This window comes from Homo sapiens, chromosome 1 (assembly GCF_000001405.40).
Source record: "Homo sapiens chromosome 1, GRCh38.p14 Primary Assembly".
NCBI lineage: Eukaryota > Metazoa > Chordata > Mammalia > Primates > Hominidae > Homo > Homo sapiens.
This window is the reverse complement of record NC_000001.11, coordinates 85,057,682-85,084,354: the sequence shown is the minus strand read 5'-3', so window position 1 is coordinate 85,084,354 and position 26,673 is coordinate 85,057,682. Positions and strand designations below refer to the sequence as shown.

General features: G+C 39.8%; 1 protein-coding gene across 3 annotated transcripts in view, besides 1 other annotated feature; it reads right to left on the bottom strand.

Moving 5' to 3' along the window:
• DNAI3 (dynein axonemal intermediate chain 3) overlaps positions 1 to 22,028 on the bottom strand; it is a 70,812-nt gene extending 48,784 nt beyond the window's left edge. For all 3 annotated transcript variants that reach the window (NM_145172.5, NM_001288563.2, XM_047444741.1), the window contains exons 1-5: positions 21,869 to 22,028; positions 12,350 to 12,427; positions 11,263 to 11,301; positions 2,940 to 3,121; positions 1,951 to 2,055 (exon numbers count right to left, since the gene is read on the bottom strand). In NM_145172.5, the coding sequence (NP_660155.2) occupies positions 1,951 to 2,055; positions 2,940 to 3,121; positions 11,263 to 11,301; positions 12,350 to 12,413 (390 nt within the window). In that variant the 5' untranslated portion in view covers positions 12,414 to 12,427; positions 21,869 to 22,028. The remainder of the gene's footprint in view (positions 1 to 1,950; positions 2,056 to 2,939; positions 3,122 to 11,262; positions 11,302 to 12,349; positions 12,428 to 21,868) is intronic.
• Positions 21,893 to 22,393: an enhancer, noted in NCBI's record as "H3K4me1 hESC enhancer chr1:85527645-85528145 (GRCh37/hg19 assembly coordinates)". NCBI's record gives its function as "activates a minimal SCP1, AML or CMV promoter by ChIP-STARR-seq in primed H9 embryonic stem cells {active_cell/tissue: H9 hESC(primed)}" and the evidence as "EXISTENCE:reporter gene assay evidence [ECO:0000049][PMID:30033119]".

Sequence of the window (26,673 nt, the reverse complement as noted above, 5' to 3'; positions counted from 1 at the left end):
GTATCAAGCATATAGAAAGAAGAAAAAGACAGTAGACAAGAAAAGATATATATACACATCTCTACATATGGATGTGTATATATATATATATATATATATATATACACACTGCTGATATATATATACACATATATATACACATCTCTACATATAGATGTGTATATATACACACACACACACATATATATATACACACACTGCTGCTTTATTTGTAATAGTAAAAAAAAAAAAATCAACCAAATGAATATCAATAGAGGAATGGATTGATGACAGTGTGGTAAAACCATAAAATAAAATTCCATAGAGCAGTTATAATGAACAAATTTGACCTACATATATATGGTATCTAAATGTACTGATATTGATAGATCCTAGAATTTTATAATTTGGTGAAAAATGAAGTTGCAGACTGAGTATAAAAATGACACAATTTTTATGTGAATGTTAAGTTAATAAGACTATAAGATCCATTATTGTAGAACATAAATATATGGTAAAGTGTAAAACCACAGACAAGAACAATATGTAACAATTTAGAATAATGGTTCCTTATAGGGAGGAGTAAAGAAAATGGAATTAGGGAGGATACGAGAGGGAGTGGAATATTGTCTGTAATATTTATTTCTTTTGTTAAAAAAGTTTTAAAGTAAATATAATAAAAATTAATATTTTAAAATTCTGGATAATTAAGTGTAGATATTTGTTATACTACTCTGTAGTTTTTTCTAAACATTTAAAATATTTCATTACAATAAAAAATTAAAAACAGAACAACAATCATAAAAATAAAATTGAAAATGTTAAGGCTAAATGAAAGATGATTTTTAATTATAAACTGTTAGCTTTTATTTTATTTTTTTTTCTTTTTGAGACAGGGTCTCACTCTGTCACCCAGGCTGGAGTGCAGGGGCATGATCATGGCTCACTGCAACCTCCACCTTTCCGGCCCAAGTGATCCACCCATCTCAGCCTCCCAAGTAGCTGGGACTACAGGCACGTGCTACCATGCCTGGCTAATATTTTTATTTTTTGCGGTGGCAGGGTCTTGCCATGTTACCCAGGCTCATCTGGAACTTCTGGCCTCAAGTGATCCCGCCTCAGCCTCCCGAAGTGCTGGGATTACAGGCATGAGCCACTGTGCCCAGCCTAGATATTTTTTTAATTATATGGTTTCCCTTTATTCTTATTGCTTATTGGACAGCCACACAAACCTCTCTGTCATCCTCAAACAATTTAAACAAACCTCCCAAATTGCTTCCTTCAATTTTACCAAACAGGAATGGAAGATTGGAAAGAGAGTCTCATACATCTGTTACCTTTCTTACCCACCTTGAACAAAGGGCTTTACCTATATGAATCCTCATGAAAGCCCTGGAAATGTGCAATAATGGTGCCACCATTTTACCAATGAGAGGCTCAGTAACTTACTCAAAGTTGTGGAGACGGCAAGAAGAGAACAAGGAAAGCGGTACTCCAGATTCACTGTTTCCTCTCTCACGAGGTCAACGAAGGGCAAATCTGCTACCCTGAGATACTTGATTTAGTTCATCCCCCATTTACTGCTTACATATTCTAGGTGCCAGAACCCGATCTGGGTCCCAAAGAAACAGAGCTGAACAAGAATAATCATCACTATGTATAGGGATCCCCGCAGAGGTACCGCTTCTGCTTCCTTCTGCTAATCAACAAATTGCCCAGCCTGGGCAACATATGAGACCTCATCTCCACAAAAAATAAACAAAATTAGCTTGACGTGGTGGTGCACGCCTGTAGTCTCAGCTACTTGGGGGGCTGAGGTGGGAGGATCACTTGGGCCTGGGAGATTGACGTTGCAGTGACCATGATTGTGCCACTGCACTCTAGCCTGGGTGACAGAGCAAGAGCCTATCTCAAAAACAACCACAACCACAACAAAAACAAACAAATTACAAGGGCTTGGGGTTTGCTCACATTTAAATAGTTTTCTTTGCCCTCTTCAGTTGCAATAAGATAAAAGTTAAGTCCATATTTGAAGTCTTTGTCATAAACAAGCAGAAGCTCATTTCCAGGATATTCCTACAAGAATATAATTGAGATAGGAAGTTAATGTTCAATGGTCATTCAGTTTATTTTGATGCCAACACAAAATTCACATTTCGCTAATCAACCAATTATAGAAGATAACCATTGTGCTAATCTATGGCTGATAACACCAAATTGCAAAATTATTTTATTAACTTTAAAAAGCTCTTAAAAACATAATGCATCCAGGGAAATGTACATGCACTTTTACTTCTAACAGGAAAAAAGAAGCAGTTTTTGTTTGGTATTGTGCTCTGTAGCATGCATAGAGATAAATCAGAACCAAAATTATGAATTAAACAATTAAAGCAGAAAATAAGGATAGATTCATATTCTAGTTAAAACTGGGCAAAGGCGGAGCACGGTGGCTGATGCCTGCAATCCCAGCATTTTGGAAGGCCAAGGCGGGAAGATCACTTGAGCTCAGGAGTTTGAGACCAGCTTGAGCAACATGGCAAAACCCTGTCTCTATAAAAACAAAAATCAGTTGGGCATGCCTGTGCCTGTGGTCCCAGTTACTCAGGAGGCTGAAACGGGAGGATTGCTTGAACCTGGGAGGCGGAGGTTGCAGTGCGCCATGATTGCGTCTCTAGCCTGGGAGACAGGAGTGAAACCCTGCCTCAAAAAACAAAACAAAACAAAACAAAAACTGGGCAAGGATGAGCTTTTCTGGGTGTGGGATTAGATAACAAGTCATTGATGGAACTTTGCTTTTCACAGAGGATCATCAAACAGGATTCCCAAGGAGGGGTGGGCAAGCTAGCACTTGCCCAAAGCAATGGGGCCAGATTTGAACCAACAACCTCTCCAACTTTTGTTATTATGTACCAGGAACTTCTTGAGGTAGGACTGAAAATAAATAGGGATATTGTGCTTACCTGGACAATTTTTTTGACTGGGTGGAAATCAGATACTGCAGCTCTGTTGCGCAGGTCCTCAAAAATGTCTTCTTTATTGATAAGCTTATAAGGTTGTTCATCTGTGACATCTTCATCTATTCGGCAGTTAAATATTTCTTGGGTCTTGGTGGTTAATACTAAAGGATAAATTTCTGGATGACCTAGGAAAGACAAAGTGGAATTTGGACATTAAATATGACCACTTAAAATATTAGCATTAGAAAACATGCAATCGCTTGGTTTTAATAATTATCTTGGTTAAATTTTAAGACTTTAAAATTATTATTCCTGTATTTAAAGTAAATATATCCATTATTTTTTAAATGCCAAAAACATTTTTAAAAAAGAAGAAAATAACAATGGCCCATAATACTACCTCTCAAGAAGAAAAACCTCTATTAATATTTTGTTTTATTTTCTTCTAGTCATTCCATATATACCTCATATGAACTTCTAAATACTGCTTTTAATATTTACCATTATGTCACAAGTATTTTACAATGACACTAAGTATCTGTCTAAAACATAATTTTAGATGAATTGAATTCTATAGCATAATTTTAAACCATTCTCGTATTGGTAAGCATTCTAATTTCTTTTCTTGCTTGTTTCCAATTATTGTAAATAATCCTACAAACAAATATCTAGTTATAAATTTTTATTGCATTTCAAATTATTTTCTTGGGATAGATTTAAAAAGTGAAATTATTTGTTGGAAGGTATGACCACTTGTTTAGGCTTTCAGCCTGTATTACTTTTCTAAAACACCCCAACCTCACCCTCTCCCCTGCTGCTCTCTCTTACCAGGTGACTGGCTTTTTATTTCACAGAGAAAACAGGGTCTGAATAGCACAGAATCCTGCCAGGTCCTGCAGCCCTGCCCACCTGCTAATCAAAATGGGCACCACCTTTCTGCCCTTATGCACTCAGAGGACCTGCCCTCCTCAGCCACCAGCATCCATTCAACTATTCCTTTCCTTTCAGCTTTTCTTTCTTCCATGCTGCTTTCCCTCAGCATGCAGATTTGCTCAATGGTCTCTCATTTTAAAGAAACCTTCCCTTAAAGCTGGGCGCGGTGGCTGACACCTGCTCGAGGCAGGCGGATCACGAGGTCAGGAGATCGAGACCATCCTGGCTAATACAGTGAAACCCCATCTCTACTAAAAATACAAAAAATTAGCCAGGCATGGTGGCACGCGCCTGTAGTCCCAGCTACTCGGGAGGCTGAGGCAGGAGAATGGTGTTAACCTGGGAGGTGGAGGTTGCAGTGAGCAGAGATCACACCACTGCACCCCAGCCTGGACAACAGAGGGAGACTCTGTCTCAAAAAAAAAAAAAAAAAAAAAAAGAAAAAGAAAAAGAAAAGAAACTTTCCCTTGAGCCTATATAGGGATCTCTGCTCTTTAGGGCTTCTCTTTTTCACAGTCAAACTTACTGTTACTCAATTCCTCACATTTTTCAAATAGTGGCTTCTCAGTTGGTTGTATTAATAAACCCTTGGACACAGGAAAGTGGGTAGGGAATCCCTTTCCTCCCATCTGGCTGCCAGTCCCAGTATTGCTCTCAGGAGAGAGGAGAGGTTCAAGAGGCTTCCATCCCTGGTCTTCCCATCCCTTCTTTGCGCCTCAGGCCAGTCCTCAGCAGCAGCATGCCCTGGGAGGGTGGACGCTAGAGGACAAAGGAGAATTTTGCCTGCTGCCCTCCCCTCTCTCAAGCCTTCTTCCTGTTTTTTTATCCTTCATATCACTATCATCAGCCACAACAGTCTCAGCTCTGCATCTGTCCCCAGGACTCTCTCCCCAACTCCCAGGGTCCACTCCCATCTCCTCTAGCACCCACGCCCCTGGATGTCAGGCCATCCTCCCTCCAACTTCTCAATAGATGTGCCAGCAAGGGGGAAAGTGTATGTGGCCTCTCATGTTGGAATTTTGAGCTTATTTTCCAATAGAAATATTTTCCCCCACCCCAGGGGCTCTATGATACAATAATTCAGGTAATTTGGAGGTTTTAAATAACTGTATGCATAACACTGATTATATGCAGAAGCATATTTCAAACTGCAGTCAGTTGGCATAACATTGGGAATTCAAGTTGTTCATGAGTGAAGGACAAATTATACACTTTTATCTCCCTCAAAAGACTAACCATAACACCTGGCACTTATAAGATGCTCAATAAGTAACTGTTGACTTGATTCGAATCAAGTACTCCTCTGCAAACAGACTGCATTTGTAGTGTTGAATGGGTAACAAAAGTTCTGTAGTTTTGTCTGAGAAAACCACTAGGTGGGACTGTGAGACTCACACTGTGCTAGTGCCGAAAAGAAGGCAGCTGTCCCTAATAAAACAGAGGCATTCAGAAGACCAGAAAGCTTTTTATCATCCTTGACACTGGAAAGACAGCATCAAAGATTGTTTTCTATGTTATCTGCCCCTACTAAACACACACTTCGAATTCTACTGGCTTGATATTTTTCACACACAAAAAATGATCCTTTCACACTAATTGGACTTTTTCAAGGCAACTCTAATATAGGATCTAACATTCCTTTATCTAGAAGTCAGTAAAACTAGTGGACTGTTTCTGCTTCGAGTTGGCAAACAGTGATAACTGCAGATAACTGGCAGCCAACAGATCACACAAAACTGCTATAGTCCAGTACCATCATGCTCCATTGCCATGAGAACTAAACTAACCAGGGCAAGGCCTGATGCTTCTGGCCACCCCAAAGGGTCACCAGCCAAATACTGTAAAACAACTGCTATTGGGTAGGCTTTGAGGCACACACTGAGAACAGCACCATAGGCTACAGCAATGAGGCCACTGTGATCAGCAATGAGATGGGCTCCCTGGAGCCTCCAGCAGAGTGGGAGGCTGGTTGCTCCAAGGAGTGTAAAACAAGTGTTGGTGCAGAGGAGGAGGCCTTCAGGGCCTTCTGAAGCTGACTGAAGTCAGGAGTGCCAATCACAAGGACAATGTCTGCGAGGGCACTTCCATGGTGCACCTACTGCTCCAGGCACAGTTTTAAGCACTTTATGTGTATTATTAACTCATTTAGTCTTCACAACAACATTCAGAGGTGGTTACTATATTTGTCTCCATTTTTTAGCTGAGAAAACTGAGGACCACAGAGTTCAATAACATGTCCAAGGTCAGCCTCTGGAAGTTGAAAGTGGTGGTACTGGGATCAAAACCAAGATCCCTGAACTCAACTATGCTATGCTTTCTCTCTAATGAGTGGACACAGAAGATCCATGGAGAGGGTCCTGCTTCTCTACACATAGACAAGGAGGGAACAGAGATGATGTTCCATAGGATCCAGTGAATGGCAGTTATTCACCTAGCAGGAACCAAAGGCAGACTCAAGCTCTACACAATTCATGCCTCAGAATCTTACTATGTGCACACAATAGAAGGCTATGCAATATAAATCATAGGTTACACATATATTATCCTACATAATGAGCGTTGTTTAAAACAACTCTCATACATTTCAATTGTACATTCTTTTTTTTTTTTAACATTTTGGTTGCTATCTAGTTTTTTAAAAACAGCTTTGCTGAGTTATAATTGACAAACGATAAACTGCATACAATATGTACAAGTTGATAAATATATGCACATACCCCATGAAGCCATTACCACAATCAAGATAAAGTACATACCCATAAGACCCAAATGTTTCCTCCTGCCCCTGCCTTCCAATACACCTCCTTCATCCCTAAGTAACCCCAAGTAACCACTAAGCTGTTTTCTTGTCACTATAGATTAGTTTGCTTTTTTCTGGAATATTTATAAATGTACTCTTTTTGTTTATCTTCTTAGCATAACTATTTTGAGATTCATTCATATTGTTGAACGTAGCAATGGTTCATTCCATTGCTGGCAAGTATTCCATAAAAGAAAAAAATCTTTAAGATTTTAAAAAAGAAAATCTTAAGAAAGCTTTAAGATTTCTTGGGATTTTGGCTGTGGGTGTCATATCTGGGAAATCTTTGCCAACTCCAAGGTCACAAAGATTTTCTCCTGTTTTCTTCTAGAAGTTTTAGAATATTTGGTTTTACCTTTAGGTCTATGATTCCTTTTGAGTTAATTTTTGTGTATGGTGTGAGGTATGGATTGAGTTCACTTTCTTACTTACAGCTATCTAACTGTTCCAGCATCATTTGTTGAAAAGACTATCCCTTCTCCACTGAATTATCTTTGCATCTTTGATGAAAATCAATTGACCATGCACATGTGGTCTATTTTTGGACTCTATTCTCATGCATTGATCTACTTATCTGTCTTTATAGTATCTTTTTATAGTAAAAAGAGTTAACATGAACCTACTTTGTGACAGCCCTATGTAAGGAAATGTGCATGTACTACTAATTTAATTTCCACATCAGTCTTATGAGGTAGATAGTCTATCTTGCTTTTCAGATGAAGAAGCAGAGGCTCAGGAAGGTGAAGTCATCTGTGGCCACACAGTCACTAAATGACTTTAAGTCATAAGTTTATGACTTAAACCAGGTCTGCCTAATTCCAAAGCCTGTGCTATTAACCACTTCTGGCAAACAGAATAATGTCCCCCTAATATGTTCATGTCCTAATTCCTGAAACTTGTTAATATGGTTTTGCTGTGTCCCCACCCAAATCTCATCTTGAATAACTCCCATGTGTAGTGGGAGGTAATTGAATCATGGGGGCAGGTCTTTCCCGTGCTGTTCTCATGATAGTGAATAAGTCTCATGAGACCTGATGGTTTTATAAAGGGAAGTTTTCCTACACACGCTCTCTTGCCTGCTGCCGTGTAAGATGTGACTTTGCTCCTCATTCACCTTCCACTGTGATTGTGAAGCCTCCCCAGCCATGTAGAACTGTGAGTCAATTAAACCTCTTTTTTCAAATAAATTATCCAGTCTCAGGTATGTCTTTATTAGAAGCATGTGAACAGACTAATGCACTTCTGTATTGTTACCTTACATAAGAAAAGGGATTTGTGGATATAATTATGTTACGGATCTCTACTTTTTGTTGTTTTTGTTTTTATGTTCTTTTTATTTATTTATTTATTTTTCATTTTTTAAAACATTTATCCCAGATACTGAAGGTTAAGGATTTTGAGGTGGGGAGATGACTGGGCCTTTGACATTGGCCCAGTGTAATCCCAAGGGGCCTTATAAGATGGTGACAGGAGGATCAAAGTCAAGGAAGGAGATGTGACAAGGGAAACAGAGGTCATAGAGAATGACTCAAAGATGCTATGCTGCTGGCTGTGAAGAGGAAGGAAGGGGCCAGGAGTCAATAAATACAGTGGCCTCTAGAAGCTGAAAAAGGCAAGGAAACATATTCACCTCTCAGGGCCTCCAGCGATAATCAGCCCTGCTGACACCTTGACATTAGCCTGGTGAAAGTAATTTCAGACTCCTGATTTCCAGAACTGTTAAATGATACATTTATATTGTTTAAGCCACTAAGTTTGTGGCAATTTGTTACAGCAGCAATAGGCAACTCATATACCACTAACTCGTATTATAATTTGGGTAAATTATTTAACATTCGGGAGTCACAGCACCTTCATGTCTGTAATGGCCTTGATAATGCCTACTTTATAGAGCTAAGGCAATAAGAAGAGTGGGCCTGGCAGAAAGTCATTGCTCCACAAATATTAGCTATGTGTAAAAATTATATTTATTCTCCAGAAACCTCTGGGCATTGCCTTGTTAGGCCCTTAGGACTGACAGTTTTTTAGTTAGCCTATTGATACCTTGGCTCCTTGTTAGAAAAAGGGATCTCAGTTTCTTGGAGCATGACAGCCATCAGCCCTGATTAACAGTTGGCAAGGTCAGGGCCCACCATGAGGAAGTCAGAGGGGTCCTGATGCTACCTGAGGGGAGTCTGGGGGTAGAAAGAGGCTTGAGGAGAAGGGGATGCTAACTCAAAACCTACACTTGTCTCACCATAATGTTCTGAGGTTGGTTTTTTCTTTCCCTTAAGCAAACATATTCCTATTTTTCAGTTCATTTACTTTCAATGAATACATCTCAAACTGTGCCCCTTTATCAGGTTCATAGATTTTCTTACCAGTCAATTCATTTAGTTAAGAAATATTTACTGAGCACCCACTATGTGAAAAGCATGATGCTAGTGCCAGGGTATCCAATCTAGACAGAGAGACAGATAATAAACAATGAAGTACACTCATAGATACAAACTGGGCTGGGCATGGTAGCTCACACCTGTAATCCCAGCACTTTGGGAGGCCAAGGCAAGAGGATCCCTTGAGCCCAGGAGTTCAAGACAGCCTGGGCAACATAACAAGAACCCATCTCTACAAAAAAAGAAGAAAATAAATAAAAAACAAAAATAAGTAAATACAAATTGTGATAAGTGCTATCTGGGAGAAAACAGGATGAGAGATGGAACTAAGAAGGGTAGCTGTGGTGGTCTATTTAGATAGGAGCAAGAGGGAACACAACTCATTCACTCATTTATTTATTCAGTAATGAGTTATAGTGCTGTTTGCCATGATTTGGCCATGAGTTCAGTGTTAAGGAATCAACAATATACATTAAATAAGGAGTCTTTAAACAGAAATACACATAAAACAAGGTTATGTATTGACTAGTTAATGAAAATGTGAACAGAAGCTCACAGGAACCTAACCCTGTGTTTCCCCTAGGAGCAATAGTCCAGTATTGGCTAATTCAGTATTCAAAGGGACTGTATAGAATACACGAACGAGAATTGACTGTACTTTAACTTCAGGATTTTAAGTGCTATGAAAGCAATTAAACAAGGTAATAGGTGACACAGAGGTCAAGGAAAGTCTCTTGAGGAAGTGAGATGGTAGTCTAGATCTCAATGATAAGAAAGAGAAAGTTGCATAAAGGGAAGATCTATCTATGCATCAGGGACAGCAAAAGCAATGGCCCTGAGGCTGGAATAAATTTGGAACATTCTGTGCTAAGCAAGGCTGATGGGCTGTAGGTTGGCGAAGAGGAGGAGGAAACAAGGTCAGGACCACTTGAGCACAGGAGCCAGGACCACTGCAAGTTGTGCCCAATGGCAAAGAAAGACTATGGGGGAGTTTAAGCAAGAAAGAGGAGTTTAAGCATGGTTGGGCTGCTGTGCGCCAAATGGACAGAAGGAGGCTGAGTGGAAGCAGTGATATCAAATAGGAGCCTTGGGAACTAACCGATGTGAGGAGTGCGGAGGTTTGGACTAAGGTTGCAGGTGGGAAGATAATATGAAGCAGATGGGTTTGAGATATATTTTAAAACAGGTGGAATTCACATAAGTTGGGGTGGTTTGAAAGGGGTAGGGAGGTGTGGAGGGAGAGAAAGAAAGAAATTAAAGATGACTCCCAGGTTTCACTAACTCAATAAATATTTATTGGGCAGCATATCCTGCTGCAGGCACTGTGCTGGGTGCTGATAACAGAGCCACTTACATTAGCTGACATTCTCCCACTTTCTCCCCACCTCCACACTCCACACCTCTGCCCCCTCTACTGCCCTGGCCCAGGTCATCACCATCTTTCCCCTGGATTGTTGGAAAAACTTCCTAACTAGTCTCTCTGCTTCAGTCCTTGCTCCTGCAATTTGCTACACAGTAGCCAGGATGACCTGACCCTTTAAAAACATGTCAGATGGAGTCACCCTTTGCTTAAATACTACCAATATTTCCTCATTCCATACGATTAAAAGACAAAATCTTTACAGTGGCCTACAGGGCTTTTAGGTCTTCCTCCTTGCCCCCCTCATTGTCTCCTTTCTGTTTCTAAAAGTGAAGCGTGTCATCTAAGTCAACTCTAAGGGAGAGGTTCCCCCTCCATCCCACCAAAAGAAGTCTTGTTGTAAGATTATTTAGCCTTTACATGTAGGAACAACATTAGTTTAGTTGTCTAAGTTCTAGTTATTTGCTTAAAAACCAGCCTCTTTCCTTGAAATAGTGGCATCTTAGCGTGAAGTACAGATAAATATTACCTATGAGCAAAAGTTTGAAAAAATACTTATCTGATAAAAGTCATAAGTTGCAGGCTTATAACACTTTATAGTTATAAAAGGCCTTTCAATAATCATATAATGCATTTTTAACTAACTGCTTGGTTGAAGTTTATTTCTCAGTTTGAAATTCTCTACTTCTATTTTTTCTTTTAAAAATTTTTCATTTTATATTCTAAATGGAATGGTATAATTTTAGCCCATGTACATTTTGATTGATCACTTCAGTTTGTAGTATTCCTGCTTGCTTATTGCATTATTAAAATATTATAAAACTGAGGATGTAAGTTGTAAATTATATTTCCACTTACCCATGCTCTCCATATTTACTGGTTCCATGTCTTCACTAGCTAGAATATAATAAAAGGAAGTCAAATTTACATTTTTGAATCAAATACATCTCAATTTATTATAATCTTTTATTTCTTCTTTTTTTTTTTTTTTTTTTTGAGACGGAGTCTTGCTCTGTCGCCCAGGCTGGAGGGCAGTGGCGCTATCTCAGCTCACTGCAAGCACCACATCCTGGGTTCACGCCATTCTCCTGCCTCAGCCTCCCGAGTAGCTGGGACTAGAGGCGCCCGCCACCACACCCGGCTAATTTTTTGTATTTTTAGTAGAGACGGGGTTTCACCGTGTCAACCAGGATGGTCTCCATCTCCTGACCTTGTGATCCGTCCACCTTGGCCTCCCAAAGTGCTGGGATTACAGGCGTGAGCCACTGTGCCCGGCCAATCTTTTTTTTATTTTTCTTTTTTTTTTTTTGAGATGGAGTCTCAGTCTGTTGCCCAGGCTGGAGTGCAGTGGCGCGATCTCTGCTCATTGCAACCTCTGCCTCCCGGGTTCAAGTGATTCTCCTGCCTCAGCCTCCTGAGTAGCTGGGATTACAGGCGCGTGCCACCACGCCTGGCTAATTTGTGTATTTTTAGTAGAGACGGGGTTTCACCATGTTGGTCAGGCTGGTCTCGAACTCCTGACCTCGTGATCCAACCGCCTCGGCCTCCCAAAGTGCTGGGATTACAGGCGTGAACCACCGCGCCCAGCCAGTTTACTATAATCTTTACCAAACCTCAAAACACAAAATATAAGTGCAAATATACAATGAAGACTTAAACTATCTTGTGAATAATTAAACAGAGAAAATCTGAATAATTGTCTTTCACACTGTTATCTCTTAGTGACATGTTTACTACAGCATTCATTATATCGCATCTAATTGGTATCATAATGAAATTAGTCAAAAGTAAGAATGAATCTCCATATATCTTATTCCTCATACATTTGACTTTATGTCACAGAAATATTTTATTTCATTTGATATGTAAAACCATAATCATTTTGCTGCTAATATATACACAAATACTCCACAAAAAATCCCATTCAATGAAGAAATATTCCTACCAGCTAATACTGGTTTTAGTCTTTTTTTGCCACGTGATGTCTTTTTCTTTTGTTTTGGAGCCATGGTTCTGACTTGGGCTGCATAAAGAGATGATATTATTAGTAAATTGTTACAATTTGCAAACAACTTACAATTTCAAATACTAAACATTATCATTTAATAAACATAAGAATATGTTTTCTAAGATTTACCCTGGGCTAAATCAACCTGTATCTTCATAGAACGGGTGTTCTGTGACAAAGGCTTATTGCAACAACAATCTTACTGATGAGATCTTACTGTTCTGGTGGAGCCATTTAGCTGAAGCGCACCGTGGTGACCTGCCAGAACAAAGTCTCAGCCATAGGTCCTGCCATGGAAGCACGACAGAGGACTTGGCTTCCCCGCCTCTCACTGAAGTTCCCATGCCAGGTAGCTGCTCTGTGCTGCCTTTTGCTGGGCTTCCCAACAGGTAGCCCAGCTACAAAGACAAGATAGGCCACTGGGAGTGACAGGCCCACAGTGTGCATATGCATATATAATTTTTAAATTAACGTAATTGAGCTCATACTTTTATCTCAGCATGTGAACACAAAACCACTAAGGCCTTATTTGGCCTATCAGAGAGAATGCCTCCAAAAGTTTTCCATGGAACTGCTTATCAATTTTGACAGGACAGAACACTGGCCAAGGTCATCACCATGACATCAAATCCTTGTCATCTCCGCCATGCTCACCTTTGTCCCATTCTGTTTAAATGGTTAGGAGTGTGACTGCAGGAGCCTGGCCAGCAGAGTTTTTAAACAGGCTCTACTTCTTCCAGCTGAGTAACCTTGGGCAAATTACTTACCTTCTCTAAGTCTCAGTTTATTCATCTATTTAATGGGGATAATAATAAAATCTACCCCACAAGGTGATTGTGAAGACTTAATGAAATAAAGTGTCATCAATCAACTCAATCATCTCTGACTGGTTTGCGTCACTTTAACAAATCAACACAGACTATTATTTCATAGCCCATGGTCAAAATATCACAAGTTTTATTTTATTCCTAGATGCTGGATCACAAAATCTTGTCCAAAGTGTGGATGTGAGTGTGTCTGTGTTCCTGTGTAAACATCTTCCCTTTAGATTTTCTCATATGAATTTTTTTTAAATGATAAAAATAATAGCTCACATTTGTGAAGTGCTTACTATGTGCCAAGCACAGTTCCAAGTACTTTACTTGTGTTTTTAATTTAATCTTAACCACATTAAAACATTTTTATTGACATATAATAGTTGTGCATATTTGGGGGTACATGTGATACTTTGATACATGTATACAATGTATAATGGTCAAATCAGCATAACTGGGATTATCCATCATCTGAAACATTTATCTTTGTGTTGGGAACATTACAATTCTTCTAGCATTTTGAAATATGCAATGGATTATGGTTAACTATAATTTTCCTACTGTACTATTGAATACTAGATAACCACATTTTATTATTACTATTATCTTCATCTCCATTTTATAATGAGAAAAACGAGGCCCCAAGAGGTTCAGGTGACTCTCCTGAAGGGACACAGAGCGCAATAGGCAGTGGTGTCAGGCTGTGAGCCCAAGCAGCCTGGCTCCAATAGCCACATTCTTAACCTCTGTACTAGATGATCCCTTGGATTTCAATGATAACTGCTGTGTTTCATTGCAAATGAAACTATTTTAAATCATTGACTTTACCTAGGAAGGCAGGAATTTTTATTTTATTTTATTTTTTTTGAGACAGAGTTTCACTCTGTTGCCCAGGCTGGAGTGCAGTGGCGCGGTCTCAGCTCACCGCAACCTCCGCTTCCCAGGTTCAAGCGATTCTCCTGCCTCAGCCTCCCAAGTAGCTGGGACTACAGGTGCACGCCAGCACGCCCGGCTAATTTTTGTATTTTTAGTAGAGACGGGGCTTCACCATATTGGCCAGGCTGGTCTCGAACTCCTGACCTGGTGATCCACCCGCCTCGGCCTCCCAAAGTGCTGGGATTACAGGCATGAGCCACCGCGCCCAGCTAAAAAGCAGGATTTTATTATCTAATCAATATTTTATGATTCTGACAATTTCTATTTTTAAGATATTCTGCAATGAATGGATCTGACTCAACTCTTTAGACTGTCAAATGTCCTCCATATCACTTCCCAGTCTTAGCATAATTTCAAATCTTTCATCTATTCCTTTTTTTCAGAAGATTCCTTATCAATGTACCCCTTCTCCATATGCTATCCCAGCTGCATTTTAGTTTGATGTAAAATACTTGAAAAACTTTCTTTTTTTCCCCAAGACAGAGTCTTGCTCTGTCGCCCAGGCTGGAGTATGTGGCACGCTCATGGCTGTAATCCCAGCATTTTGGGAGGCCGAGGTGGGTGGATCGCGAGGTCAGGAGTTCGAGATCAACCTGGCCAACATGGTGAAAAACTCTTCACACCACTTAGCCTCACCCCACGCACACACCATCACCACCACCACTATTTATTCCACATATATATATTGAGTGACTATGCTGCACCAGATGCTATCCTAGGTGTTAGGGATACAGCAGTGAACAAAATAGGCAAAACCCCTTGTGCAAGCTCACATTCTAGGGGAAGACAGAACAAATAAACAAATAAAGGAGGAAAATATAACTAGTATTTTAAGAACTACTAAGGAGAAAAATAAGGTAAGAAAAGGAACTGGACATTGGAACAAAGATCTGAAAAAGGAGAAAGCAAGAAACACAGATATCTGGGAGAGGAAGAGTATTTTCAGGTGGAGGGAACAGTATGTTTAAAGGTTCTGGGGAAGGATCATGCCTGGCATATTTAAGAAAACAGCAAGAAGGTCATGATGGCTGGAGCAGAGTCAGGGAAAGACTACAGGCAAAGCTGGTCAGAAAGGTGACAGGGATATATTAGTCAGCTTTGCTGCAGTAACAAATGACCCCTACATCTCAGTGACATACGGTAACAAACATTTATTTCTTCTCATGCTATGCACTGTGGTGTGGATGAGCTGCTGCAAGTCTTCTTATTCCGGGATCCAGGCTGAAGAAGCAGGCCTTATTTCACACATACCACTTTCACAGCAGAGAAAAAAGCAAGAGAGCTAATGGAACTACATAATGCTTCCTAACTTTCTCCTTGGCACTGACATGTTGTGCCTCCTGTTCACATTCTATTGGCCTAAGCAAGTAAGTCAATCCTGATAATGGGGGAGGGATTCTCTGCCTGATTGGCAGAAGGTGGGAATGTATGATCCTCTTACAGGTACGGGAGGTAGTGGCTGGGAATGATATAATTGGAAACAGCTATATAATATACCACAAGGGGGGCTAGGTCGTGTATTAGGACCTTGGCTTTCACTCTGAATGAGGTGGAGAGCTATTGGATGGTTTTGAGCTGAGAAGTTACTTTACTCCATCTGTCCCACAATTTAAGGATCAATATGACTGCTGTGTTGAGAAAAGACTGCAGCAAGGAAAAGGCTGAAGCAGGAAATCCAGCTGCGAGACATTTAAAAATCCATGGGAGAGATGAGGGTGCTTAGATCAGGCAGGTGAAAGTGATATGGGAAAAGTGACTGGATTCTGGGTATTTTTGTTAAGTAGACCCAATAAGATTCACTGGTGACTTGAACATATCGCTTATGAGAAGGATAACATCAATGAATTTTGCCTAAGAAATTGAAAGCATGGAGTTGCTATTTATTGAGATGGAGATCCCATGGGAACAGCAGATTTGAAAGAGAAGTTCAGGAGTTCAACTGAAGGTATATGAAGTTAGACTGCAAACTAGACTATAAACTCTGTGAGCATGGGGATTGTATTTTCTTTCCAATTTTTGTAATCCCTGTAACTAGCACAGTGAACATACTAAAAAAAAAAAAAAGTTAGATTAATAACTCCTTGGTCCTCCTTCCCTTCTGCCATGCTTAGCCTATGAATTTCCAGTCTAAACAAAAGGCTTCTACCTAATGGTCTGTGGAATACTCTATAGTCATGCTGTATTAGTTTTCTCTTAATGCTGTAACAAATTACCACAAATTTTGTGACTTAAAACTACACAAATCTATTATCTTACAGCTTTGTAGTTCAGATATCTGACACAGGTCTCACTGGACTTAAACCAGAGTCAGTGGGGCTGCATTCCTTTCTTTCCAGAGCCTCTAAGAGAGAATCTGCTTTCTTGCCTTTTCCAATCTCTAGAGCCCACCAGCACTTCTTGGTTTGTGGCCCCCAACCTCCAACTTCAAAGTCAGAAGGGAGAGTTAAGTCTCACATAGCATACTCTAACCTCTTCTTTGTCTTTCACTTTTAAGGACCCTTGTGACTACACTGGGCCTACCTAGATAATCCAGGATAATCTCCCTATGTTAAGTTCCGCTGATCTTAATTTCATCTGTGACTTTACTTCTTTGCCATATATGGTAACATATCCACAGGTTCCAGGAATTAAGAAGTGCTGCCGTAGAATTAAACTTGAATACAGGTATCAGTTTACAATCATCCCCCAAACAATCAAAGTAAACAAGTGTCCTGTTCTTTTCAAACGCTGCTATTAAATACTCTGTAGATAATTTGAGTTTCCAGTTTTCAGGGAAAAACAAAGTCAAATTTTTGGCAATAAATTAGGCACCAAAATTGGAATGTGCATTAATGCAAGCTGCCTTACCTGAACAGCTCATTTACTACTTTCACAAATGTTAATTGACTTCTGTCTAAATTACTGACTAGTGACTAAGGGCAGAGTGACTAGTGACCAGGTACTAGTGACCAGGTTGTTCTAAAGGCTTTTAGGGGTCTTAATTCTTCTTCACTAAAAAGCATAATATCTACATTTCTAGGCACCATCGATAGAAACATTTATAAGCTGAAGAGAGCCCGGTGAATATAGTCTAAACTGAAAGGAAAATGATTACTTTGGGAGTAGCCACCTTATATTGTATTTCAGTTTCAGGCAAAATTTTGCAGTTTATTTTAGTAATTGTAAATAATGAAAATCCTACCAACATTATGTCTAGAAAATAAATAACTTTTAATTGGGGGTATCGAAACCAAATGAATAATACACTTTTTATAATTTCAATAAACACATTTATTCAAGGTTTATTTTTTATGTAGATCTTTCTTTTTAAAAACAAATCCCCAACAAAGATATTACTTTCAAATTATAGCAGGGCTTACTGAAGTTTTTTTCATAAAATTAATTGAATATTTCATAAATGTGTTATATTTAACAAACTTTTTTCTATTAAGTTGCATATTAAAAGCTTATGAAAAAATTTTCAATATCCAATCCTACTTTAGTCTAAGTTTACTTTGAAATATGCATAACATTTTTTCTGTTCCCAGCTGAAATCAATTTGTAATTATTAAGAGTCGCAGAAGAGGCCAGGTGCAGTGGCTCACGCCTGTAATCCCAAAACTTTGGGAGGCCGAGGCGGGCAGATCATGAGGTCAGGAGATCAAGACCATCCTGGCTAACACAGTGAAACCCCCGTCTCTATTAAAAATACAAAAAAATTATCCAGGCGTGGTGGCAGGCGCCTGTAGTCTCAGCTACTCGGGAGGCTGAGACAGGAGAATGGTGTGAACTCAGGAGGCAGACGGAGCTTGCAGTGAGCCGAGGTCATGCCACTGCACTCCAGCCTGGGCAACAGAGCAAGACTCCATCTCAAAAAAAAAAAAAAAAAAAAAAAAAAGAGTAGCAGAAGAGATAATTCGTCTACTCCTAAAATCAATGTTGTGCCTAACCCAGTGGCTTGTGTTTTGACTGGTTTTCAAACCACTAGAGCTGAGTGTATTTCAAAATAGAAATTTTGGAAGGTAACACTTAGAAATGTTTAAGCATTTTTATTAAAAATATTCTTGATATTTAAACTACTTATTTTCTTTGTAAATTAATTTACCCATTTCAGAACACCTTTTGCCATCAATGCACAAAGGTCACATTTTCTAGATTCTACGTTAACAACAAGAGACATTAGAGGTTGACAAAAGTGTGTATTGGGTAAGTCCCCTGCATAACAGATCAAAACCTGTGATGGTGCACCACTTGATTACGAGGAACCCTGCATTCACAGCTGTCTACGATCTGCTTCCAAACTAACTCTCCAACTTGCCCATGACTATATCCTTTTATGATGCTTCTATTATTCAGGAGGTGAACTACTATAGATGAAGGCATAAGTAACATAAATTAAATTGTCATAATACAGTGATTTAAACAGCTATTAATCTCCTCTCTTCACTTTATTCATGCAATGCATTGTGAAAGTTGTCAGAATCAGCATGGAGCCACTTGTGTTAAAAACTCAGACAAACACAGCTAGGGAAGGCCATGAAGGGAGTATATGTCACAAATGCCTGATAACAAGAACTATCACAAAAGACTATACAGAATCACAAACTTGCATAAAGGCCATTGCCACTCTACACACACACACACAAATACTTCTGCAAGGATATCTGCCCAGGAACTGCCTGTCCAACCTCAGACTGGTGCCACCCTTGTCACTGATTCTGTAGCCAAGGATAACTATCTGAAGACAATGACATAATCCTCCTCATTTTTCCTTTAAAAACGTTTGTGTCCTTTTATCTCCCTGAATATACATATAGTTTACTACCGCATGCATCTTCCCATTGTTAATGCCTATTCTCAAATAAACATTTTATTTTAGAGAGTCCCCCTCTCTGCTTGCTATCTAGGTTGATAGCACACACCTGTTTACATGCTCTCATTTGTTGCCTGTGTGTATGTGTGGCTTATTCCCAGCCAAGAGATCTTGATTATGAAAGGACTTGTAGCACTGGCACCTTCTCTTTAACTGGGTTCTTCCTTACGAAAGTCTTATCTTCCCAGGTCTTCTTCAATTAGCTGACCTCATCTAGGTGGTCATCATCCTCTTTCCTCTTCCCAAATAATTTATAAGCTCATAATGCTTGTTTCCATCTTTCTACATTTATTTATTTATTTAAATTGAGACAGAGTCTTGCTCTGTCACCCAGGCTGGAGTGCAATGGCGTAATCTCAGCTCATTGCAACCTCCGCCTCCCGGGTTCAAGCGATTCTCCTGCCTCAGCCTCCCAAGTAGCTGGGATTACAGGTGTCCACCAACATGCCCAGCTAATTTTTTATTTTTTAGTAGAGATGGGGTTTTGCCATGTTGGCCAGGCTGGTCTTGAACTCCTGACCTCAGGTGATCTGCCTGCCTCGGCCTCCCAAAGTGCTGGGATTACAGGCGTGAGTCACTGCACCCAGCTTTTTATTTTATTTTTAAGAGGTGAGGTCTGGCTTCGTTGCCCAGGCTGGTCTAGAACTCCTGGCCTCAAGCAATCCTCCTGCCTCGGCCTCCCAAAATGCTGGAATTATAGACGTGAGGTACCTCTCCAGGGATATCTTTAAAACAAACAAACAAACAAACAAACAAACATTGATTTAGAATAAAACCCAAGACTAACATCTTGGGCCTCTGGTAAATGCGTCTGCAAGAACTATTGATTCTCAGTAAATCTTCACTAAGACCCTGATTAAACTTCAAGATTCTCCTGGGTCCTTCAGCCATATTTTGGCAAGTATACAACATCCACCCCTAGAGACAACTATTCCTACAATGTCTATTAGTCTATACTCTTGTTTCCTTCCTTCCATACCTATTTCCACTTCTTTCCAAGATTGGATATTCACTTATTTGAGTAGATGCTATCCTATTACTTCTCCCTTCCAAATATCTTCTGAATTCCAAGCCCTTCTCTCCCACAGCCTCCTCTGGTTCAGGTCTTTAACATGTCCTCCAAAACTGGAGCTCCAACCCTGTTTTGTGCCATGAACCTTTGGCAGCCTGGTGAAGCCCATGCATCAAATAAAAACATGGGATTACAAAGAAGACAGATTATATGGAAATATAGTTATTAAAATATTTTTTAAATTATGATAAAATAATTTGTACTTTATTAACACGTTAAATAACAAAATCTAGCTGTGGTTCTAATAACTACCTTAATTGTGAGGTAATGATGAGTATAAATAATATATTTACAATCTCTTTAATGTAATATGAAAAGAGTTACTAACAAAGTCACAGGCCTGTGAGTACTACTGTGGTTTGTTACCAATTGAATACATTTCAATTGGTGGTTAGTGAAAATAAATATGTAATTAAAAAAATCCACAGATTCTCCTCCCTGAATCCTCTGCCCTAGATCATGGACACTTAACTGGCCTCTCTGCCTCTGTTCTAACCAGAACAACTACTCAAGAGGCCAACCTCAGAGCTCTCCAAAAATGCATCTCTTATCAAGTCTCTTCCCTGTATAATGACTTTTTATGGGTCCCTATCATTCACAGTAGCATTCTCTTCCAGATTGTAGAAATGGAGCTCATTTGAAATGCAAATTTCCTGGACCTCCTTTGATTTTGCTGGTCTGGGTTGAGCCTGGGACTCCGCATTTTTAAAAGCATTGTGAGACAGTCTTGCACTGGTGGTCTATACACCAGATTTTGCAAAACAAAATAGAGTCTGAACTCACATAAGTATGGCCTTCAGTACTTTCACAGTGTGCCTCACTGCGTCAACCTTTCCAGTTCTATTCCAGCCTCACACGGTTTCCATTCATTCCCAAACAGTCGAGGACTTTCCCACCTCCCTCTCTGGAGAATCCCCTTCCCTCCCACCCCTCCTGCTGCTCCTGGTCCACACCATGCAGGCATCTCTCTGCTTGCTTCAATCTTTCTCATCATTCAAGGCAATTATGAACTTTTCCCCCAAAGCCGAAAGCCTCCCTGACTTCCTCACTCAGGCTGAAACAATCTTGTTCTCCCTGACACTTTCCAGTCATACTATGTGTAATTACTTATGTCAGGCCTCTGCAAAGGCAGAGGGCTTCAAACTCTGAGCTTCCTAAAAGATTGCTGTGAATTCATTTAGCATTCACCATACACAAGAAGAAGGAGAAAGTATTGCGCAGCAATTAGGTACTGGGTAAACTAGTCACTAGGGGAATAAGACAATGTCCTTACTTTCAAAGAGTTTGTGTTCCCTGTTCATCTTCCTCACTGTTTATCTACTCTAGCCCTTTCTAAACAGTCCTGAAGTAATCTATTTCAGCCCACATTAATCTTTTATTGTTTGACCCCCGCCCCTAGACGGATAATCAGAATCATGCTGTTTTGGCATTCATTCATTCATTCATTCATTCATTCATTCATTAACTGACTCATTCATGGTTTATTGAGTTCCTACTATGTACTAGGCAATATGATAGTCACTGGGTATATATAACATGGGAACAAGACAGTACATGCCCTTAAAGTTCTTAGAGTGTCGTTAACTGCTCTCTCGTTGCTATTTTTGTTTCCCTCACGAGGCTGGAAGCTCTTTGAAAGCAGGGAAAGACTTGTGTTTTTTGTAGTCTTCACTGCCACTAGCCTAGCACATTGCTGACACAGCGAGTGTTCAAATACCCTTGAAAGAGTGAGTAAAATACTTGTTTTCCAAGCCGCCTTTCCCATTCAGAGCTTCTCTTACCTGATACTGCTGATCTGAAAGAAAAGGAGCCTCTTTGCAGTGCCCTCAGGAAAAGCTCCTTCGAGAGCTGGAGGTGGGAGTTTGACTCTCCTCTCTCAGAAAAAGAAATCGCAAGGGCACAAACCGCAGCAACTCTGCCGACTGTTGCCAGGACGCATCTGTCGCTAAGAGAAAAGAGGCGAGTCCTCTGCGAGACTGACAGAGCATCTCTACCAATACAGTGTCCGCTCCCTAACAGTATCTTTCAAAGCAGACTTGTGATTGGTTGCCACTATGTGACGTCACTCAACGCGAACCGGGTGAGGCCAGCAGCTTTCCACTACCAAGGAAAGAGTTTTGTGTCTTAAGTATATTAATGACAGTGGCCCGGCCTGACCCCAGGTCTAACAGGCTCGGTCCATGCCTCACACCCACCGCAATCTCAGCCAGAGAAGAATCTTTCTGGGGTGTGGACCCTAGGAACCAGGAGAGAAAATGTTAAGGAGGCTGCCCGCTCAGAATCCTTTCGGGCAGCTTTCCTGCCCACCCCCTGCAGCGAGCTGGGCCCTCCTAGGGAGTGGAGAGGAAGCTGCGCCCCACTGGTTGTCGTGGGCGCCCCAGAACCCTAATGGGTTACATTTCCTTCTTGCCAGAATAACTTTTGTTTAGAATTTGACTCAAGCTGTAAATATGAGTCTCCGGGGAAGAAACTTGAATCCGTGAGTAACCCAAGGTTCATTTTATCTGTGATTAGGAGTCCGGTGGGATTCATACAGTGACGCTCAACTCTCTGAACACTGTTCTCCTCCTTTCCCTTAAAAAATAATTATAACTGTCTAATTTGTAAAGTGGCAGAATTTAATAAAGTAATGTAATTGACTGCTGTAATTGGTGTAAATAAATTTTCACACCTAATTTAAATAAAATCTTTAATTGAGAAAAGGCTGATCATTTATAACATATGAGAGTTCAGGGGGCTGCTGCGGTGGCTCATGCCTGTAATCCCAGCACTTTGGGAGGCTGAGGAAGGCAGATCACGAGGTCAGGAGATCGAGACTATCCTGGCTAACACGGTGAAACCCCGTCTCTACTAAAAATACAAAAAAATTAGCCAGGCGTGGTGGCGTGCACCTGTAAGTCCCAGCGACTCAGAAGGCTGAGGCAGGAGAATCGCTTGAACCTGGGAGCCAAGATCGCACCACTGCACTCCAGCCTGGGCGACAGAGCGAGGGTCCGTCTTAAAAAATAATAATAATAATAACTTCCTAATTTGTAAACTGGCAGAATTTAATAAAGCAATGTAATTGACTTCTGTAATTGGTCTAAATTAATTTTTACACCCAATTTAAATAAAATCTTTAATTGAGAAGAGGCTAATCATTTATAACATATGAGACTTTAAGGATCCTGAATGAAGATTTTTACGTTATGTGCAGAAAGATTATATAGATTCTTTCAAATTTCTGAAGAATTTGTGTTCACAAAATTCAAATGAATTTTACAATACAAATTATGAAGGAAAAAAACTAAAAAAGAGGTATTATCTAAACATTCTGACAACTTTTTTCCAGCTTGTCCACTCCCAGGAAGTGGAAGATTCGTTTTCCCCTGGGCTCAGTCTTGAGTCTTCTTTTGTCACTCTTCGCACTCTCCTGGTGGCGTCGGCATCATATATTCCCCTTAGCTTCAGCCATCACCACTAAACACACTGGACTTCCATTTCTACATTCTCAGCCTAACATATCTCTTAAATTCCATACCTGAATTTCCTCTAGCTACTGGACATTTCCAACTACCTGTGTAGTTCAGTTCATGTTGTTTAATAGATGCTAAATAAAGATTAAATGTAGTGAATGAATGAATGACCATAGCACCACAACTTAGCAGAGCCAAAGTCAACTCATTATCTTTCAGAAACTTTTTTTCCTTCTTTATTTTCTACCCTAGGTAATAGTATCATTGTCCATCAGTTGCAAAACGAAATCTGAAAGTCATCCTTGACTCCTCTTCTACTGCCCACAGTCAACATATCATTTAAGTTCTGTCATTTTTCTTTCTTAATTGTCTCTCAAATAATCCATTTTCTCTTAGCCATCCTCTGCCTCTGCCTTATTTCAGATATGCCTTATCTCTCACCTAGACGGTAGCAATAGTCTTTTGACTTGTTCTATCTCTTTCCCTCTAATTTATTTGCCAAGTTGCCACATAATTTTCCATAGTTTGAATCCTGACGTCACCCTGCTTAAATATGCTCAATCTGGCATATGAAACCCTGTATAAACAGGGTTCTGAAAGACACTGGAAATAAATCTGGAAGGTAATTAGTTATTTTTCTAACCTCATTTCCTGCCTCTGTCCCCAGCCCAACCCACATTTTAGTCCAGTGCTTCTTAACTGAAGACCCTTAACAGCCAAGGAGCAGGAAATCACAGGGGCCAGGAGTGAGTAGTAGGTTGATGGAAAGAAGGTTTATAACATGAAATAGACTTCTGCAACTGAGACATATTTGTTTCATATAAAGAATTTATGAAGTTTTTGCATTTGGCTTTGCAATGGATTCGTGTTTGTTTCAATTTTTAAAAAAATGTCTAAAGCCACTATTAACTAAAATTGACAGAAAACTGAATAAACACAAAGAAACCTTAGGCAACTGTGACATGCTCATCCTGTGGTTTTGCACAGCCCCTGACATACTGCTGTGCAGGTCCAGGAGTGTGTGGGTCTCAGGTTGAGAGCCAGAGCTCTGGTTACACAGCTCCTGACTGGTCCCCTGTGCTGTGCTGGGTTACAACTGTGTGTCTGCTCATCCAGGTGCCACCACTTCTACCTCTGCCTCCATCTGTAATGCCTTTCTTCATCCTCATTACTTGGTAAATGACTATTTATTTTTCAAGACCCAACTCAAATGTCACCTTCTCTGTCCAGCCATACAGGCACTCGGTAGAATTAGACACTCTTTCCTCTATTTTTCCATTATAGCAAGTATTACATTGTGTTGCAATAGCTTGTTTAGATAGATGTCTCCCCCTCTAGACTTTAAGGCAGGGATGGTGTCTCATTACTTTATATTTCCTTTATATCCTTTATATCACACTGTGATATAATGTCAAACATAGATTTTGGTTTGTTATTGTTGTTTAGAGTGGGGATCTCACTATGTTGCCCAGGCTGGTCTTGAACTTCTGGGCCCAAGCCTTGGTGTCCCAAAGTGCTGGGATTACAGATGTGAGCCGCCATGGCCGGCTGGACATAGGTATTTAATAAAACATATATTTAATTATGTAATTGATTTACTATTCTTGGAAGTAAATCTAAAAGAAACTCTAACAGAAGCTTCTTTGTATTTTTCCAAATAATTTGCTTTCCTTAAAAAAAATTATAATCCTTCACGGTCAGATTTAAGGAAGTAAGAATTATATAACCTTGTGATCTGGCTGAGACACCAAGGCCTTCTGTCATCTTTTCTTTAGAGACATGCCAAGAGGATGTCCATTTGATGGAATGAGTCATAAGTCACAATACCAAGAAAGTTAAAAGTTAAATTGGAAATGTTTAGAAATTTCTTCATGTTACAAATTCATGATTGATTGACCATCTGTTCTTTCATGGGAGTGGTCAGAAATGAAATATCATCATGGTAGCTAGTGAATGTGTCCATGCTTTTCCAGGGGAGGTTGAATTGAATTTCCCTGAAACTTGAAGATATGTAAAAATTAGTTTTAGTTTTATTGATTGAGTGAACATCTAAAGAGTCAAGAAGTCATAATTGAAAATATTTCTCTGATTCTTTAAGGACATCTTGATAAGTTTCAGATTGGGTTTACAAAAGGACAATCTGATAAATTGATATGAGGTAGATTTTTACTAGTTATTTTGGTGAGTGACTCATTCTTTTTATGGATTTTTTTAAAAAGTTAGCTCAGAAACTAGGCGTGGAGGACCCTATTTTATGTCTGGAAGGGAGAAATGTTCTTGTTTGAGCCCTAAACTGCTGGGATTACTACATATTTTCCAAGCACTTGGGGAAACTACCACAACCTATTGCATGAGGAAGTGAGAATCATCTGAAGAGTACTCAGCTTCAGAAAGGAGAAAAAGAGACAAAAAAGCCTGACCCTGGGACAAAGATTTAGCTGTTGGAAGAAAGGGCCAATTTTGGCAATTCTAGAAAAAAAAATGGACTAGAACATCAATGAGAAATTAGGATCTATACAACATTAAAGTCAGGAGAAAGGCATTCTTAACTGCACAGAATAGCTTGAGTCTACTGGGGACTAAGGAGGACACAGGCCCCATGTGGCTCCAGAATTGCTGGTCCTTCCCATAAGAGAAGGCAGGGCTCTAGCACTCATCTGCAGTCTTCAGGCAGTAGATATCTCCAGAAGGGCCAAAGCAAGAGCTGTGGAGGTAAAAACAGGGCCATGTGGTAGCAGAGTGGACTTACTTGTCAGTATGGCTGAGACTTAACTCTCTACACCCAGAAATAGTTGGTGGTGGGAGAATCATTGTATGGTAGTGACAGTCCTACAATATCATAAAGCATTAAAAGCCAGTGAATATCAGTTCTACATGTATAATTTTTATTGTCATTAGAGCACTTAAATATTTTTTAAAGTGAAGTCACTCAAATATTGTATTTAAAGTAAGGAAATTATGTTGAAGCCTAAATTTGTCACTTTCTGCATAGGTGGCATTAGACAAGTTATTAAACTCTCTAAATCTCATCTGCAAAATTTGAGATGATAATGCTTTCATCAGAGCCAGGCCAGATAAAGGGCAAGAGCAACCACATTGAACAACTAAGGGTGAGGGCAACCAATGCTGCC